A 15,683-nucleotide genomic window follows, 5' to 3' on the forward strand; every position below is an offset into this window, starting at 1 on the left:
GAGGATGTGAAGCAACTTTAATTGCCACCCTCAGACGGGGCAGCAGGAGTGTCTTAAGCACAGGGCCGTTCTACCCCCTGGGAGCTGCCTGGGGCCAGCCCCTCAGTTCTGGCTGTGGCAGGTTCCCCATCCTAGCTCCCCGGATCTCCATAGGGAGTGTCCAGGGACCCTCAATCTCCAGGGCCACTTCTGCAGGAGCTCGGGTTCGAGGTTCCACGTGGCCAGAAGAGCTCAGGTCTCTGAGGGCTGGTGTGCCCGGGTACCCATCCGCATCACTGCTCTCCTCCTGTCCGGCTACGCCCAGGGCTGAGTGACGGTGGTGGCAAGTGCTTGTCCTCAGGGCAGCGAGGTCTTCTGTTCTGACAGCAGCAGGGACTCCTTCATGGCCACCAGTAACCCCAGTGGGCGGAGGCGCTCCTGGGCTCGGAGCCAGGACAAAAGGAGGAGGGTGGCGGTGACCAGGCTTGCACTGAGCACCGCTGTGGGGAACAGATGGACAGAGGAGTAAGGAGGGGGAAGGCAAGAGCCCCCACACCCACCAAGCTCCATACACATGGGGATGGGAGTTCTGCAGCTCATCCCTCCCCACCCACCTCCCCTGAATCCCCGGAGCTCTAAGCCCCCAGCATGGGAGGGTAAGTCCCTCTTACCAGCAGCTGCAATAACCCCATAGGCAGTTGGGCTTCCAGACTGGTCTCCGGCAGAGGAGGATGTGGCATTCCCGACAGAGGGGACACTCTCCAGGGTCACAGGGGGCCCCATGGTTGTGGCATTCCTGAGAGAGGTGACACTCTCCAGGGTCACAGGGGGCCCCATGGTTGTGGCATCCCCTTCCGGGAGGATCTCATTGGTTCCTGCAATAAGCCCAGGCGTTCAGTAGTTGAGGAGAGAGCACTGAAGGCGTGAGGGGGCCAGATGCCCAGGGGAGCCCTTGGGGTTTATCCTCAACCAACCAGGCTGGGTGAAGCTGACTGCCCGTAATTATGTCTTTTTTTTTTTTTTTTTTTGGAGAGGGAGTCTGGCTCTGCCACCCAGGCTGGAGTGCAGTGGCGCAATATTGGCTCAGTGAAACCTCTGCCTCCTGAGTTCAAACAATTATCCTGTCTTAGCCTCCCGAGTAGCTGGGATTACAGGTGCACGCCACCACGCCTAGCTAACTTTTGTATTTTTAGTAGAGACAGGATTTCGCCATGTTGGCCAGACTGGTCTCGAACACCTCACCTCAGGTGATCTGCCTGCCTCGGCCTCCCAAAGTGCTAGGATTACAGGCGTTAGCCACCGTGCCCGGCCTTTTTTAAATTTTTTTGAGACAGAGTTTTGCTGTCACCCAGACTGGTGTGCAGTGGCCCAATCTCAGCTCACTGCAACCTCTGCCTCCCAGGTTCAAGCGGTTCTCCTGACTCAGCCTCCTGAGTAGCTCGGATTACAGGTGTGTGCCACCATGCCCAGCAAATTTTTTTGTACTTTTAGTAGAGACGGGGTTTCGCAGTGTTTGCCAGGCAGGTCTCGAAATCCTGACCTCAGATGATCCGCCCACCTCAGCCTCCCAAAGTGCTGGGATTACAGGCGTGAGCCACCGGGCCCGGCCCCTAATGATGTCTTGATTCCCCCACAGGGATGCAGGCACGGGCAAAGGCATGTGTCCACGCCCCCAGCCTGGCCACGCCCCAGCAGGCAGTGGGTGTCCCCATCTACCCACGAGTCCACCCCAGCCCCGCAGGTGCATACCACAGCCGAGCTCGTCGCTGGAGTCGGGACAGTCTGGGTGGCCGTCGCAGCGCCACGTGAGTGGAATGCAGTCATCGCTCAGCGTGCAACGGAGCTCGCCTGCTAGGCAGGCCAGGCGGCTGCAGTTGCGCAGTTTCTTGTCAGTTCCCCCAGAGCAGTCACTGACGCCGGTGCAGGGGCAGGGGAGGCCAGGGGGCGGTGGGCATTGCCCTTTCTGGGTACATGGCTCAATCCCTGGGGCACAGGGTTGGTCAGGTCCCAAATGCCCACCCAAGAAGGCCCAGGTACTCCCTGAAACCCCATCCCCTGCAAGCCCCACCCTCTAAGAACAGCTGAGCCCAAAAAAATGCTCCCTTCCTAAGGCTCCGCCCCCTGCAACTGTTAACTCCACTTTCTAAGGACAGGCCTCCCTGCAAGCTCTTCCCCTGAGACCCCACTAGCTCTACCTTCCTACAAGCCCACTTTATTCTATTTGTTTGTTTGTTTCTTTCTTTATTTTTTCTTTTGAGACGGGGTCTCCCTTTGCTGCCCAGGCTGCAGTGCAGTGGCGCAATCTCGACTCACTGAAACCTCTGCCTCCCAGGGTCAAGTGATTCTCCTGCCTTAGCCTCCTGACTAGCTGGGATTACAGGGGCCTGCCGCCACATCCAGCTAACTTTTGTATTTTTAGTAGAGATGGGGTTTCACTGTGTTGGCCAGGCTGGTCTCGAACGCCTGACCTCAAGTGATCCGCCTGCCTTGGCCTCCCAAAGTGCTGGGATTACATGTGTGAGCCACCGTACCTGGCTCCCTCCCTCTCTCTTTCCTTCCTTTCTTTCCTTTCTTTCATTTTTCTTTTTTTTTTCTTTTTCTTTTTTTTTCCTGAGACAGTCTTACTCTGTTGCCCAGGCTGGAGTGCACTGGCACAATCCTAGCTCACTGCAGCGGCAACCTCCCAGGATCAAGTGATCGATCCTCCCACCCTAGCCTCCCAAAGTGCTGGGATTGCAGGCGTGAGCCACTGCGCCCAGCCCAAGCCCATCTTAGACCCCGCTTCTTATGACCCACAGACCCAAGTCGCACCCATCCCTGCGGCCCTGCCTTTCCCACAAGCTCCACCTCCGCGTGCCTGGCCCCTGACAAACCACCCTCAGGCCCCGCCCCCTGTAAGCCCCGCCAAGGGGCGTGGCCACTCACTGCACTCCTCCTCATCGCTGCCATCGCTGCAGTCCAAGTCCCTGTCGCAGCGCCAGGTGAGGGGCACGCATAAGCCACTGGTGCGGCACTGGAACTTGGTGGGTGGGCACGAGCCTGAGCTGGGGCCTGCGAGATGGATGCAAATGAAGCCTGGGAAGCTGGAGGCTGGACCTTTCTCCAAGAGCACAGTAGTCACTGGCTGTGATCCGCAGGAGACAGGCGAAGTCCCGGGATATAGGAACCACACTGGCGGCTGCTTGTTACTGAGCCCCTAGTACGAGTGGGGTTCAGAGTGTAGCAGTTCCTGGGCTCAAGAGCCCCACTGGGCAGGTGCTACTGCACTCCCCAGGTTACAGAGAAAGGAACCAAGAGGAGGCCATACAGCTGGTGGCAGAGGCTGGGTGCAGTGGCTCACGCCTGTAATCTCAGCACTTTGGCAGGCCGAGGCAGGTGGATCACTTGAGGTCACGAGTTCGAGACCAGCCTGGCCTACATGGAAACCCCGTCTCTGTTAAAAATACAAAAATTAGCCGGGCGTGGTAGTGCACGCCTGTAATGCCAGCTACTCGGGAGGCTGAAGCATGAGAATCGCTTAAACCTGGGAGATGGAGGTTGCAATGAACCGAAATCATACTGCTGCACTCCAGCCTGGGCGACAGAACGAGACTCCGTCACCACAAAAAAGAAAAAAAAAAGAGCTGGTAGCGGAGTTGGGCTTCGAACTCAGGTCTCGCTGATCCCAGAGTCTTCACCAGGCTCCTCATAGCGAGATGATCTGCCAGGGAGACCTCCAAACTCAGTGGTTAAAGAGACTGAGGGACGGGCCATTTTTCCACATGCCCTGGGTCAGGCTCCCGGGCTCAGGTCAGCAGGGAGGGTCTATCTCCTCTGCGTAGCAAAAGGGAAACTGAGGCAGTGGGTGGGAAACTGAGGCACTGGGTAGAAAATCTGCTCAGTCACCAAGTCCTGTTGCCCCGCCTCCTGAATTCCTCCCAGACCTATCACTCTCCCCATCCTAAATGTGTCAGCTCCTCACCAGAGCCCCAGGCCCCAGGCCCCAAGGTCCATTAGGACACCAGAGACTTGCCTTTCCCTCTCTCCTCCCTACACCCTGTGTTTTCCCCTCAATTTTCAGATCTCAGCTGATTTCCTGGGAGGGTTCTCATGTCCCTCTTGGAGACCTAGGAAGCACTGCCTCCCATGTCTAACAACTGTCCTTAAAGCCCTGGTCATGCCTGTCCACCCACAGACTGGACATTCTGTGGAGGTCAGGGCTGTGACCTGGCCGCCTAAACCCAGGGCAGTGCCTGATTATAAGTGGACACAGGTCACATAAGGGTCCAAGCTGGGTCCAGAGAAGATCCCGGCTGTCCTAGATTCTGAGCAGGGAAGCTCAGCTGCTTGCCGACCTGGAGGGGCACGGAGGGGCCCGCAACCTGGGCCAAGGGACAGAGGAAGGGAGTGGCCTTTACGGCTTCCTCCTGGGTGCGGCCAGGGGAGGTGGCAAATCCGCCACCCTGGCTTAGCTTCACTCTGCCAAGGCCTTTAACCTCTTCCACCTTTACCCACCAGCCATGAGCCTCCAACCCCCCACTCCCCACTGCCAGCCCCTCCTCGGCCTTCAGGCCTAATTGCACCTACTTGCCACAGGGTCCCTGAGCTCTATGGATCCCAGAAGAGCTGTGGACAAACCGGTGCCTGCTTCCTTCCCCGCCCCCGGGAGATCTGGCAGCCTCCAGGTGTGGCTCTCCACCCAGGCGCAGACTTCCACAGCCCTGACACCTCTGACCTCCCTTCGCTGGACTGCGGGAGTGTGTATCCCTCTGCAAAGTGGACAGTAGAGCACAGCAGTCCCCGCCTCATAGGGTGTAAGCCTGACAGGAGTTACAGTGACCAGTGACTTTCTCTCCTGGCCTCAGTTTCCTCACCTGTAAACGGGGTATGCTGGGAATCCCTACCTCAACATCCTGAGAAAAAAGAGACTGTGTATAGAGTTTTGTCCTGTAATCCCAGCACTTTGGGAGGCTGAGGCGGACAGAACACTTGAGGTCAGGAGTTCGAGACCAGTCTGGCCAACATGGTGAAACCCCATCTCTACTAAAAATACAAAAATTAGCCGGGCATGGTGACGGTGCCTGTAGTCCCAAGCTACTCGGGAGGCTGAGGCATGAGAATTGCTTAAACCCGGGAGGCGGAGGGTGCAGTGAGCCAACATTGCACTGCACTCCAGCCAGGGCGACAGAGGGAGACTCAAAAAAAAAAAAACAAAAACTTTTGTACTTGGTTAACGTGAACGCTGCCTCCTTAAAAAAAAACAAACAAAAAAAAACCCAGGAACATTTAACGTGAATGTCAGGGACTTTGGGATGAGTCCAGGGACCTAGAAGTGCGGAATGCACAAAGGAGCTGGGAAAGTGTGTGAGCCTGAGCCCAGGGCTGCAAGTTGGGAGTGCCTGAGTGCACAGGGAGGCCACTCCAACCCTCCAGCTGCCTCTAGGGGTATCAGAGAGGGAGCCCGTCCCCACTGGCCACCAATACCTCTTAGGCCAGGGCGAACACGTCCACGGGGGTATATTCAACTTGTGACCCCAGTCTCTGCGAGAGCCTGCAGTAGCATGGGGGGGAGAGACCTCGCGTTCTCTAAGGATGGAGGACAAAGGAGGAGAGACTGGGAGGGCAGGGACGGTTGCGGAACGGTCACAAGGCCTGGGCGCGAGGGTTTGGAAGGCAAAGGTGCGAGAGGCACCAGGTGACCCGTCCTGCGTGATTAGCGGTCGGACAATCTGAGCCTGCTAAGAGCTTTCCTGACCACGCTGGTATGAAGGGCGGCTTGGAGGTGACAATGGGGGACGACAGGGCACAGCAGGTGTGGAGACGGTGTGCAGGGCCGGAGCAAAACCGTTAAAGGCAGGTGGAGACACCCTCCTCCCCTCCCCCAGCATGGGGTCTTCCTAGCACCAGTGCGCGCCTTCCCACAAGCGATGAAGTCCAAGTCCACGTGCTGGGGGAGTGTCATGAACTGACGTGCGGTGCAGCCAGTGACTAGGCGTTGTCGGTGCGCGGCGGCGGGGCGAAGCCTCGCGAGGGGTGGGAGCCCGCGCTGCGGGGCGTCACTCACCTGCGGCCTGGGCAGAGGTCGGGGTGGAAAGCGGGCTCGCGGCGGCCTCCAGGCCTAGTCCGAGGCCGAGCAGCAGCAGCAGCGCCAGGCCCAGAGCCCCTGTTCGCCACGCTCCAACCTGCGCCATCCAACCGCCGCTCATGCTGTCCCCACAGCGGCGCCGGCCACGCGCTGTCCAGACCGCTCTCTTATCCCTGCGCACGCGCACGCGCGGGGTTGGGGCGGGGCCCAAGCCCCTGAGTTCTGCGGCGCCCGCGGCTACGCGTACCGTAAATGTCAGAATAGCAGGGAAAAGAGAATTAGAGGCCCGTCCCCACTTTCCCCAGTGACCAGATCAGTTGAAAGGTATGGAGCCCGCTTGAAGTTAGAAACTTCTGGGGATGGGAAGGAATTTGTTGGTGTTCATTTGCATTATTTCCCGTTCCAAATGAGGACTGCTGCAAATGTTACTGCCTCGTGATCTTCTTTAATATGGCAGCCACGCCCCTCAGGCACTCCGCATTTCCTCCCTCATCCCACTGCTTTTGTGGCGCCGACAGGTAATTTATTTTATTTACTTATTCTGGTTTGTTGTCCGAGTCCCCATAGAATGCTAGCTACTGGAGGGCAGGGATCTTCTGTTGCTCACTGCTTTATTCTCAGGATCTGACACATAGTGCTTGACTCATAGTAGGCTCTTAGTAAACATTTGGTGAGTAAATGAATAAATGAAACGTCCATTCTCGGAGTCGGGTTGCTTGGGGGGGAAAAAGGAAAGGAAATCAATTAATTAATTAAATTTAATAATAAAGGCCGGGCGCGGTGGGTCACGTGTGTGATCCCAGCATTTTGGGAAGCAGAGGCGGGCAGATCGCTTGAGCCCAGGAGTTCGAGATCAGCCTGGGCAACACAGCAAGTCCCCGCCCGCCTCAAGAAAAAAGAAAATTAGCTGGGCATGGTGGCTCTAATTTGTAGTCCCAGCTACTCAGGAGGCTGAGGTGGGAGAATCACTTGGGGCTGCACTCCAGCGTGGGTGACAGTGAGACCCCATTTGTTAGAAAAGTTGGCCGGCGCGCTGGCTCACGCCTGTTAACCCCAGCACTTTGGGAGGCCGAGGCAGGCGGATCACGAGGTCAGGAGTTCTAAACCAGCCTGGCCAACATAGTAAAACTCCCGTCTCTACCAAAAATACAAAAATTAGCCGGGTGTGGTAACATGCTCCTGTAGTCCCAGCTACTAGGGAGGCTGAGATGGGAGAATCGCTTGAACCCGGGAGGCGGAGGTTGCAGTGCGCCGAGACCACATCATTGAACTCCAGCCTGGGTGACAGAGTGAGACTCTGTCTCAAAAAAAAAAAAAAGTTGTGGTCATAAAACTTGGTTCAGATGCCGTCAGCGGCATGCCTTGCCTAGGGTCTTGCCCTCCTTGTGGCCTCTGCACACCCTGCCTAGTCTTTCCTTCCCTCCTGACCTTTCTGAATCTGATTCATCCTTTTGCCCCAAGCAGAATCCCACCTTCTCCAGGAAGGTGTTAGCCTTTGTAGGACCCACTCTGGGACACTGGTACCTGCTGCCTGTAGCCGTGGCCTTTCCCCTTCCAGAGGGCAGGGCGGTCTCAGCACCCTCTTGGTCCACAGCTGATCTTTTTTAGCTGCTGAAGGGTCTGGGGCTGTGCCCTGGGGAAGCCATGACACTCCCCTGCGTAGGGTCACTGGGTGGCTCCTGCAGCCAGACTTGGACACCCTCCCTTTGCAGATTTCTGTCTCCTCCCCAGGAACCAGCTGCCTTCCTTCTGGGGCGAATTCATTCTTATCCCACAGCCCCAGCATAATGGGATCTGGCTCAGGGAGGCCTTTCCTGATCTGCCCTAGGTTTGCCTTCCCTGTGAGCAGCCCTTACTGTCCTCTGCCTTCCCCGTTGAGCTGCAGGGTGACCATGGTCAAGCAGGAGCCTCAGTGGGAAGGTGCTGAGGAAGGTTCATGTGAGAAGTGGCTGTGGGAGCCCTCAAGAGATGGAAGTTAGGCCAGGCGCGGTGGCTCACGCCTGTAATCCCAACACTTCGGGAGGCAGAGGTGGGCGGATCACTTGAGGTCAGGAGTTTGAGACCAGCCTGGCCAACATGGCGAAACCCCGTCTCTACTAAAAATACAAAAATTAGCTGGGCTTGTGGCAGGCGCCTGTAATCCCAGCTACTCGGGAGGCTGAGGCAAGAGAATCACTTGAACCCAGGAGGCAGAGGTTATAGTGAGCCGTGATCGCGCCATTGTACTCTAGCCTGGGCAACAAGAGCGAAACTCTGTCTCAAAAAAAAAAAAGAAGTGAGAAGTCTGTGGCTGGCCTACTGAGTGTCCGCACATACACCCCTTACCCCACCTGACTGGTCTTCACAATCAATGCTCCCCAACAGCCAGCGGTCCTGGGAGTCCAACCTCCCAGAAGGATCACCCACTCCCACCACTCTCAAGGTCAGAGCCTGGCCTTTGGGGGAAAGGGCAGTGCTGTCTCCAGGGCCTCTGCACCCAGGGACAGTGTCTGTCCCACCCCTGGAGTGCCAACAGAGTTGGGAGACTCAGCACTGACTTCACCCCAAAATCCAAGTAAGCTGGGTATTGCTTAAAATCAGGGGCCAGGCGTGGTGGCTCACACCTGTAATCCCAACACTTTGGGAGGCCAAGGCGGGCGGATCACCTGAGGTCAGGAATTTGAGACCAGCCTGGCCATCTCTACAAAAAAAAAAAAAAATTAGCGGGTATGGTGGTGCACACCCGTAGTCCCAGCTACTCGGGAGGCTGAGGCAGAATTGCTTGAGCCCAGGAGGCAGAGGTTGCAGTGACCTGAGATCGTGCCGTTGCGTTCCAGCCTGGGTGACAAGCGCGAAAACTCTGGCTCCTGCAGCCAGATTTCTATCTCCTCCCCAGGAACCAGCTGCCTTCCTTCTGGAGCTAACTCATTCTCATCCCACAGCCCCAGCATAATGGTTTCTGGCTCAGGGAGGCCTTTCCTGATCTGCCCTAGGTCTGCCTTCCCTGTAAGCAGCCCTCACTGTCCTTTGCCTTCCCCGTTGAGCTACAGGGTGACCAAGGTCAAGCAGAGGCCTCAGTGGGAAGGTCTAAAAAATAAAAATAAAATCAGGCCAGGTGTGGTGGCTCATGCCTGTAATCCCAGCACTTTGGGAGGTCAAGGCAGGAGGATCGCTTGAGGCCAGGAGTTCAAGATCAGCCTGGGAAACATGGTGAGACTCTGTCTCTATTTTTTTATTTTTTAAAGTAAAACTAGAAGTGATACCTGAGCTCTACGTATTTGTCATAAATTAGGTCACATTCTCCCTGGAGGAAATCCAAGGAGGCAAAGTAGTCGGGTGGCCGTGAGGGTGCAGTGTCACAGGTAAGGCTGGTCCGAGGACAGCTCCCACCTCTTTATGGGAGGAGCTGGAGTCACCGCCTTCTTCTCAGTGGCAGCTACAGCAGAGCTGGAGGAGGGAAAGACTTCAGTGAGGGTTTCCAAAGAACAGTGTGGAAAGATCTGAGGGAGCCCACACCTGCCCCGGGACAAACACACCCACAGGGACTTTCTGGACCTGCAGGACAGACAGCAGGGTGTTCCAGAATGCCAACCCCTCCAACGCAGCCCCTCAGAGGATCAGCCAACGCCAGGTGGGAGCTAGCAAGCCTCCTCTCTCCCCTGAGCCCTGTATGAACCCCCTGCTGTGGCCCCCAGGCCCAGAACCCACTGTGGAGAGCTGGGCTCCTCCCTTCCCACTTTTGGTCTCCAGCGTACACAAGGCCCCCACCCCCATTCCTGCTGCCCCTCAAAACAGGATGCTGGCAAAAGGGCCAAGCGATCAGGTGACAATGGCCTCCAGCTATTCCTGCCTCAGACTGGGCAAGAACTGCATGGCAGGCGCTACTGTGTGGGCGCAGAGCCAGGAAGATGGGGCACCGCCCTCAGGAAGACTCAGGCTGGTGGGGCTGAGAATCCATGCGCAAATGGCAACTGCAAAACGCATCTCTGGCCCAGAGCTGGCCAAGAGGGAGCCCCCAGGAGACCCTGTGCCGGCAAGTCCAGGACGAGCACCCTCCCCTCTCACCCCACCCACCTGAGCCTGTGGAGCTCACACACTTCACAGCCTAAGCAAGAAAGGAAGCAGGAGGGTGGGGTGATGGAGGAGGCGCCCCAGGGGTGGAGGCACAGGACCTCCCAGGAGCCTCAAGGAAATGGAAAAGGCAGAAGTGGCCTCCCTGGGAAATGCACACATCTCTGGGGGCATGGCAAGGGGCTGTGTGGGAACAAGGTATCTTGCCACACTCTGGTGCTGGACTCCAGTGAATCAGAAGGTGACAACAAGGACCACTCCACTGAGTTCCTTCTTTTTGAGACAGACTCTTGCTCTGTCACCCAGGCTGGTGTGCAGTGGCACAATCTCAGTTCACTGCAACGTCCGCCTCCCAGGCTTGAGTGATTCTCTTGCCTCAGCCTCCCAAGTAACTGGGATTACAGGTGTGCACCATCACTCCCGGCTAATTTTTGTATTTTCTTTCTTGTTTATTATTTATGAGACAGGGTCTCACTTTGTCACCCAGGCTGGAGTGCAGTGGCGCAATCTCAGCTCAGTGAAGCTTCCTCGACCTCCCAGGTTCAAGAGATCCTTCTGCCTCAGCCCTTCAAGTAGCTGGGCCTACGGGTGCACACCACCACACCCGGCTAATTTTTGTATTTTTTGTAGAGATGGGGTTTCCCCATGCTGCTCAGGCTGGTCTTGAACTTCTGGGCTCAAGCGATCCACCCGCCTCGGCCTCCCAAAGTGCTGAGATTACAGGCGAGAGCCACAGCGCCCCTAACTTTTGTATTTCAGTAGAGGCAGGGTTTCGCCCTGTTGGCCAGGCTGGTGTCGATCTCCTGACCCCTAGTGATCCTCTCACCTCGGCCTCCCAAAGTGCTGGGATTACAGGCGTGAGCTACCATGCCCAGCCTAAAAAATTTCTAATAGAGACGGGGTCTCGCTGTGTTACTCAAACAAGTCTAGAACTCAAGCAATCCTCACACCTCAGCTTCCCGAGTCACTGGGATTACAGGCACACACCACTGCGCCTGGCCTATTCACAGAGTTCTTTTTTTTTTTTTTGAGACAGAGTCTCACTCTGTCACCCAGGCTGGAGTGCAGTGGCGCGATCTCAGTGAGCTGCAAGCTCCGCCTCCCGGGTTCACACCACTCTCCTGCCTCAGCCTCCCGAATAGCTGGGACTACAGGCGCCCACCACCACACCTGGCTAATTTTTTGTATTTTTAGTACAGACAGGGTTTCAACATGTTAGCCACGATGGTCTCGATCTCCTGACCTGGTGATCCGCCCTCCCCGGCCTCCCAAAGTGCTGGGATTACAGGCGTGAGCCACCGCGCCCAGACCTCACAGAGTTTTAAGTACAGAGCAGGCCCTGCCTGACCTCATCACCTCCCAGATCTCAGCACACTGCAAGTCTAGCATCCCTATTTTATATGTGAAGAAACCAAGGCTCAAGAAGGCTGAGGGACTGCCCACACCGTGAGTTGGCTGTAGAGCCCAGACCCCAACAGGAGTCCAGGAAAACTGGTTTGAAATCCTGCTTCTGCTTACTGCTGCCTGTGTGGCCCAGGCCAGTCACTTGGCTTCTGTGAGCCTCGATTTCCTCTTCTGCAAGAGGGGTCATCACCATCTAACTGGTGGAGTTATTAGGAGGTAGGCAGGACACTGACTCTGTGCCAGGCTCCAAGAGTTTACAAATATTAATTATGAGGACTAACCCTCGTAACAGCTTTCTGAAGTAGATGCTATTAGAGTCCCCATTTAATTAAGAGAAGACACCTGAAACCAGGGACCAAACTGCTTTTTGAGAGGAGCCCAAGGTTTATACACTTCTGTCTCTGAGAAGAATACATGGCTGGGCATGGTGGCTCACACCTGTAATTCCAGCACTTTGGGAGGCCGAGGCCAGAGGATCACATGAGGTCAGGAGTTCAAGACCGGCCTGACCAACATGGTGAAACCCCATCTCTACTAAAAATACAAAATTAGCCTGGCATGGTGGCATGCGCCTGTAATCCCAGCTACTTGGGAGGCTGAGGCAGGAGAATCACTTGATCCTAGGAGGTGGAGGTTGCAGTGAGCCGAAATCGCGCCACTGCACTCCAGCCTGTGCAATAAGAGTGAGACTGTCTCAAAATAAATAAATAAAATAAGAATTCATAATTATATCAACAGTAATGTCTCAGTTTCTCACAGGACCCTTGGAGGGACCCCGGACTTCATCTGTTTTGTAGGATGCAGAGTCCTGGCTGAGGCGCTAACTTCTACCCTCCCCTGGGTTGGACTAAATGAGCTCTTGCTGAGCATGGTGACTCTCACTTGTAGTCCCAGCTACTCGGGAGGCCAAGGCAGGAGGATCGCTTGAGCCCAGGAGTTTGAGAACGGCCTGGGCAACAAAGCAAGACCCCATCTCTACGAAACATTTAAAAATTAACCCAGCATGGAGGCCGGGCATGGTGGCTCACGCCTGTAATCCCAGCACTTTGGGAGGCCAACGCGGGCAGATCATGAGATCAGGAGATCAAGACCATCCTGGCTAACACGGTGAAACCCCGTCTCTACTAAAAATACAAAAACTTAGCCAGGTGTAGTGGTGGGCACTTGTAGTCCTAGCCACTAGGCAGGCTGAGGCAGGAGAATGGCGTGAACCCCTGGGAGGCAGAGCTTGCAGTGAGCCGAGATCACACCACTGCACTCCAGCCTGGTGTGGGGATAAGAAAGAGAAATCAGATTGTTAATGTGTCTGTGTAGAAAGTAGACATAAGAGACTCCATTTTAATCTGTAATCTTACCCCCAACCCTGTGCTCCCTGAGACATGTGCTATGTCAACTCAGAGTTAAATGGATTAAGGGCAGTGCAGGATGTGCTTTGTTAAACAGAAGCTGGAAGGCAGCATGCTCCTTAAGAGTCGTCACCACTCCCTAATCTCAAGTACCCAGGGACACAAAACACCACAGAAGGCCACAGGGTTCCCTGCCTAGGAAAGCCAGGCATTGTCCAAGGTTTCTCCCCATGTGATAGCCTGAGATGTGGCCTCGTGGGAAAGGAAAGACCTGACCGTCCCCCAGCCCGACACCGGTAAAGGGTCTGTGATGAGGAGGATTAGTAAAAGAGGAAGGAATGCCCTGTTGCAGTTGAGACAAGAGGAAGGCATCTGTCTCCTGCCCTTCCCTGGGCAATGGAATGTCTCGGTGTAAAACCCGATTGTATATTCCATCTACTGAGATAGGGGAAAACCGCCTTAGGCCTGAAGGTGGGACATGCGGGCAGCAATACTGCTCCTTAAGGCATTGAGATGTTTACGTGTATATGTATCTAAAGCACAGCACTTAATTCTTTACATTGTTTATGATGCAGAGACTTTTGTTCACGTGTTTACCTGCTGACCTTCTCTCCACTATTATCCTATGATCCTGCCACATCCCCCTCTCACACATCACACCCAATAATGATGAATAAATACTAAGGGAACTCAGAGGCCGGGTGGATCCTCCGTATGCTGAGCGCTGGTCCCCTGGTCACCCGATTTCTTTCTCTATACTTTGTCTGTGTCTCTTTCTTTTCCAAGTCTCTCATTCCACCTAACGAGGAACACCCACAGGTGTGGAGGGGCAACCCACCCCTTCAGCCTGGGCGACGCAGGGAGACTCCATCTCAAAACAAAAACAAAAACAAAAACAAAACAGGCCAGGCACGGTGGGTCACGCCTGTAATCCTAGCACTTTGGGAGGCCGAGTCGGGTGGATCACAAGGTCAGTTCAAGACCAGCCTGGCCAAGATGGTGAAACCCCGCCTCTACTGAAAATACAAAAATTAGCTGGGTGTAGTGGTGGGCACTTGTAACCCCAGCTACTTGAGAGGCTGAGGCAGAGAATCGCTTGAACCCGGGAGGTGGAGATTGCAGTGAGCCGAGATCACACCACTGCACTCCAGCCTGGGTGACAGAGTGAGACTCCGTCTCAAAAAAAAAAAAAAAAAAAAAATTGACCCAGCATGGTGGCACTAATCTGTAACACCAATTACTGGGGAGGCCAAGGAAGGAGGGGAGGATCACTTCAGCCTAGGCGTTCAAGGCTGCAGTGAGTGATGATTGCGCCATTGCACTTCATCCTGGGCAACAGAGCAAGACTCTGTCTCTAAAAACGAGTAAATGAGCTCTCGGACAAAAAGCTCCCAGCAGCACAGTTCCTGCGCAACTGATGCTTACTAAGTAGGATCTTGACAAGCACCCTTTCCACAAGTTGGGAGACAGAGTGGGTTGCAGGAGGGGGCATGGGGGCTGTGGTGAGCAGCGCTGGAGATCCTCACCTCTCTGCTGGCTTGCCTGACACCAGCGCCTTCTGCGACGACATGATGATGGAAGGGGGCACAGATTCCCGGCGGCCATCGCGAGTGCAATAGTAATTGTTGGAGAGCTTGTGGCTAGGACCCACAGGGAGCTTGGGAGGAGGCTGAGTTCTGAGGGGAAAAAAGATGAGCACTGAAGCAAAGAGACAGTCACTGTCATGGCCCCGCTGTGGGCCCCTGTCACCTCAGTCACAAAATGTGGGATCTACAGCCAGCCACTGGGATAAGCCACAGGCTGGGGGTGTCCCTTGGTACACTGGCAGGGACATATGCCTGGGGAGGGGTCCTGGGGCCAGAAGCAGATGGTGGACCCTGCTCTGGATGTGAAGATGCCACCCCCAGGGACCCCACCTGTCCCAAATGTGGAGGGTACAGAGGACCCTTTCTGAGGCTCCCAAGGCCCGGGACATGTCCCCATGCCCCCCACCCCACGGCTGAGCTTGGCAGCCAGCCTCACTTGACTTTGTCCACTCTGAGTGGCTTTTTCCCCTAAAGCCAGGCTCTGGACGCCCTGCGTTTCCTGTTATCTCAGGAAGTCTCTGGAGAACCCTGCTAGGATCAAGGCCCATTATTCAAGAACACCTTAGCCTTGGAGCCTGTCAAGATCTCTGCATTTCCTGCCACCATGTGGCCAGGCAACTCCTCTCTGGAGCCCAGAGAGGGGTGAACAGAGCTCGGTCTTGGCTTGAACTAAACCCTGGGCTGGATTTACCTGGAAGCCTGAGGCCTTAAAAGAAATGCTCAAAACAAGGATGGGCAGGGTGGCTCATGCCTGTAATCCCAGCACTTTGGGAGGCCGAGGTGGGTGGATCACTTGAGGTCAGGTGTTCGAAACCAGCCTGGCCAACACTGCAAACCCCATCTCTACTAAAATACAAAAATTAGCCAAGCATGGTGGTGGGAGGCAGAGGTTGCAGTGAGCTGAGATCACGCCACTACACTCCAGCCTGGGCGACAGAGCGAGACTCCATCTCAAAAAACAAAAAAAGCTCAAAACAAAAGACGGGCTTTCCAGAGAGAGGGAGGAGAGAAGACAGCAAAAACCGTAAATTGATCTGTTTCCACTTAGCCATGTTTCTAAGTCACTTTTTTGTCTGGGAACTGTTTCCCGGAATTTAATTTTTTTCTGAGGCAGTGATCATATGCACTGCAGCCTGGATGATATATGCAATCATATGATCGCTTGAGGTGTGATCATAGCTCACTGCAGCCTCAACCTCCTGGGCTCAAGCAATGCTCCCGCCTCAGCCTCTCAAGTAGCTGGAACTACAGGCG

The 15,683-nt window shown here is 55.3% G+C and overlaps 2 protein-coding genes across 4 annotated transcripts in view, besides 10 other annotated features; both read right to left on the reverse strand.

Moving 5' to 3' along the window:
* On the reverse strand, nucleotides 1-6,232 carry CD320 (CD320 molecule). 2 transcript variants are annotated; one of them, NM_016579.4, is made up of 5 exons: nucleotides 6,023-6,232; nucleotides 2,905-3,030; nucleotides 1,729-1,962; nucleotides 651-854; nucleotides 1-479 (listed from the first exon to the last, which is right to left on the reverse strand). In NM_016579.4, exons 1-5 carry the CDS (start codon nucleotides 6,162-6,164, stop codon nucleotides 337-339), a joined length of 849 nt encoding a protein of 282 aa, NP_057663.1. In that variant the 5' UTR covers nucleotides 6,165-6,232; the 3' UTR covers nucleotides 1-336. The 2 variants fall into 2 exon arrangements, with proteins under 2 accessions (NP_057663.1, NP_001159367.1); NM_001165895.2 differs by lacking the exon at nucleotides 2,905-3,030.
* Nucleotides 1,790-2,356: an enhancer, noted in NCBI's record as "H3K27ac-H3K4me1 hESC enhancer chr19:8368800-8369366 (GRCh37/hg19 assembly coordinates)". NCBI's record gives its function as "activates a minimal SCP1, AML or CMV promoter by ChIP-STARR-seq in primed H9 embryonic stem cells {active_cell/tissue: H9 hESC(primed)}" and the evidence as "EXISTENCE:reporter gene assay evidence [ECO:0000049][PMID:30033119]".
* Nucleotides 4,995-5,735: an enhancer, noted in NCBI's record as "H3K27ac hESC enhancer chr19:8372005-8372745 (GRCh37/hg19 assembly coordinates)". NCBI's record gives its function as "activates a minimal SCP1, AML or CMV promoter by ChIP-STARR-seq in naive H9 embryonic stem cells {active_cell/tissue: H9 hESC(naive)}" and the evidence as "EXISTENCE:reporter gene assay evidence [ECO:0000049][PMID:30033119]".
* Nucleotides 5,722-5,851: an enhancer, noted in NCBI's record as "active region_13911". NCBI's record gives its function as "activates an Ori minimal core promoter by ATAC-STARR-seq in GM12878 lymphoblastoid cells {active_cell/tissue: GM12878}" and the evidence as "EXISTENCE:reporter gene assay evidence [ECO:0000049][PMID:35858748]".
* Nucleotides 5,722-6,475: a biological region, named in NCBI's record as "H3K27ac hESC enhancer GRCh37_chr19:8372746-8373485".
* Nucleotides 5,736-6,475: an enhancer, noted in NCBI's record as "H3K27ac hESC enhancer chr19:8372746-8373485 (GRCh37/hg19 assembly coordinates)". NCBI's record gives its function as "activates a minimal SCP1, AML or CMV promoter by ChIP-STARR-seq in naive H9 embryonic stem cells {active_cell/tissue: H9 hESC(naive)}" and the evidence as "EXISTENCE:reporter gene assay evidence [ECO:0000049][PMID:30033119]".
* Nucleotides 5,932-6,021: a silencer, noted in NCBI's record as "silent region_10015". NCBI's record gives its function as "represses an Ori minimal core promoter by ATAC-STARR-seq in GM12878 lymphoblastoid cells {active_cell/tissue: GM12878}" and the evidence as "EXISTENCE:reporter gene assay evidence [ECO:0000049][PMID:35858748]".
* Nucleotides 5,996-6,334: a silencer, noted in NCBI's record as "fragment chr19:8373006-8373344 (GRCh37/hg19 assembly coordinates)". NCBI's record gives its function as "represses an EF-1alpha promoter that drives an FKBP-Casp9 reporter gene in an ReSE screen in HepG2 liver carcinoma cells {active_cell/tissue: HepG2}" and the evidence as "EXISTENCE:reporter gene assay evidence [ECO:0000049][PMID:32094911]".
* Nucleotides 6,469-15,683, reverse strand: part of NDUFA7 (NADH:ubiquinone oxidoreductase subunit A7) — a 12,781-nt gene continuing 3,566 nt past the window's right edge. The window contains exons 3-5 of one of the 2 annotated variants that reach the window (NR_135539.2): nucleotides 14,370-14,519; nucleotides 9,286-9,469; nucleotides 6,469-6,758 (exon numbers count right to left, since the gene is read on the reverse strand). Coding sequence is in view for 1 of the 2 variants with exons in the window: in NM_005001.5 (NP_004992.2) it covers nucleotides 9,379-9,469; nucleotides 14,370-14,519 (241 nt within the window). In the remaining variant the exon portion in view is untranslated. Of the gene's footprint in view, nucleotides 6,759-9,157; nucleotides 9,470-14,369; nucleotides 14,520-15,683 lie in introns of those variants that run through there. The other variant, NM_005001.5, reaches the window with a different exon arrangement.
* Nucleotides 6,531-7,060: an enhancer, noted in NCBI's record as "H3K27ac-H3K4me1 hESC enhancer chr19:8373541-8374070 (GRCh37/hg19 assembly coordinates)". NCBI's record gives its function as "activates a minimal SCP1, AML or CMV promoter by ChIP-STARR-seq in naive H9 embryonic stem cells {active_cell/tissue: H9 hESC(naive)}" and the evidence as "EXISTENCE:reporter gene assay evidence [ECO:0000049][PMID:30033119]".
* Nucleotides 9,815-10,417: an enhancer, noted in NCBI's record as "H3K4me1 hESC enhancer chr19:8376825-8377427 (GRCh37/hg19 assembly coordinates)". NCBI's record gives its function as "activates a minimal SCP1, AML or CMV promoter by ChIP-STARR-seq in primed H9 embryonic stem cells {active_cell/tissue: H9 hESC(primed)}" and the evidence as "EXISTENCE:reporter gene assay evidence [ECO:0000049][PMID:30033119]".
* Nucleotides 13,670-14,476: an enhancer, noted in NCBI's record as "H3K27ac-H3K4me1 hESC enhancer chr19:8380680-8381486 (GRCh37/hg19 assembly coordinates)". NCBI's record gives its function as "activates a minimal SCP1, AML or CMV promoter by ChIP-STARR-seq in naive H9 embryonic stem cells {active_cell/tissue: H9 hESC(naive)}" and the evidence as "EXISTENCE:reporter gene assay evidence [ECO:0000049][PMID:30033119]".

The sequence above is a fragment of the Homo sapiens genome, chromosome 19 (genome assembly GCF_000001405.40).
Source record: "Homo sapiens chromosome 19, GRCh38.p14 Primary Assembly".
Taxonomy (NCBI): Eukaryota; Metazoa; Chordata; class Mammalia; order Primates; family Hominidae; genus Homo; species Homo sapiens.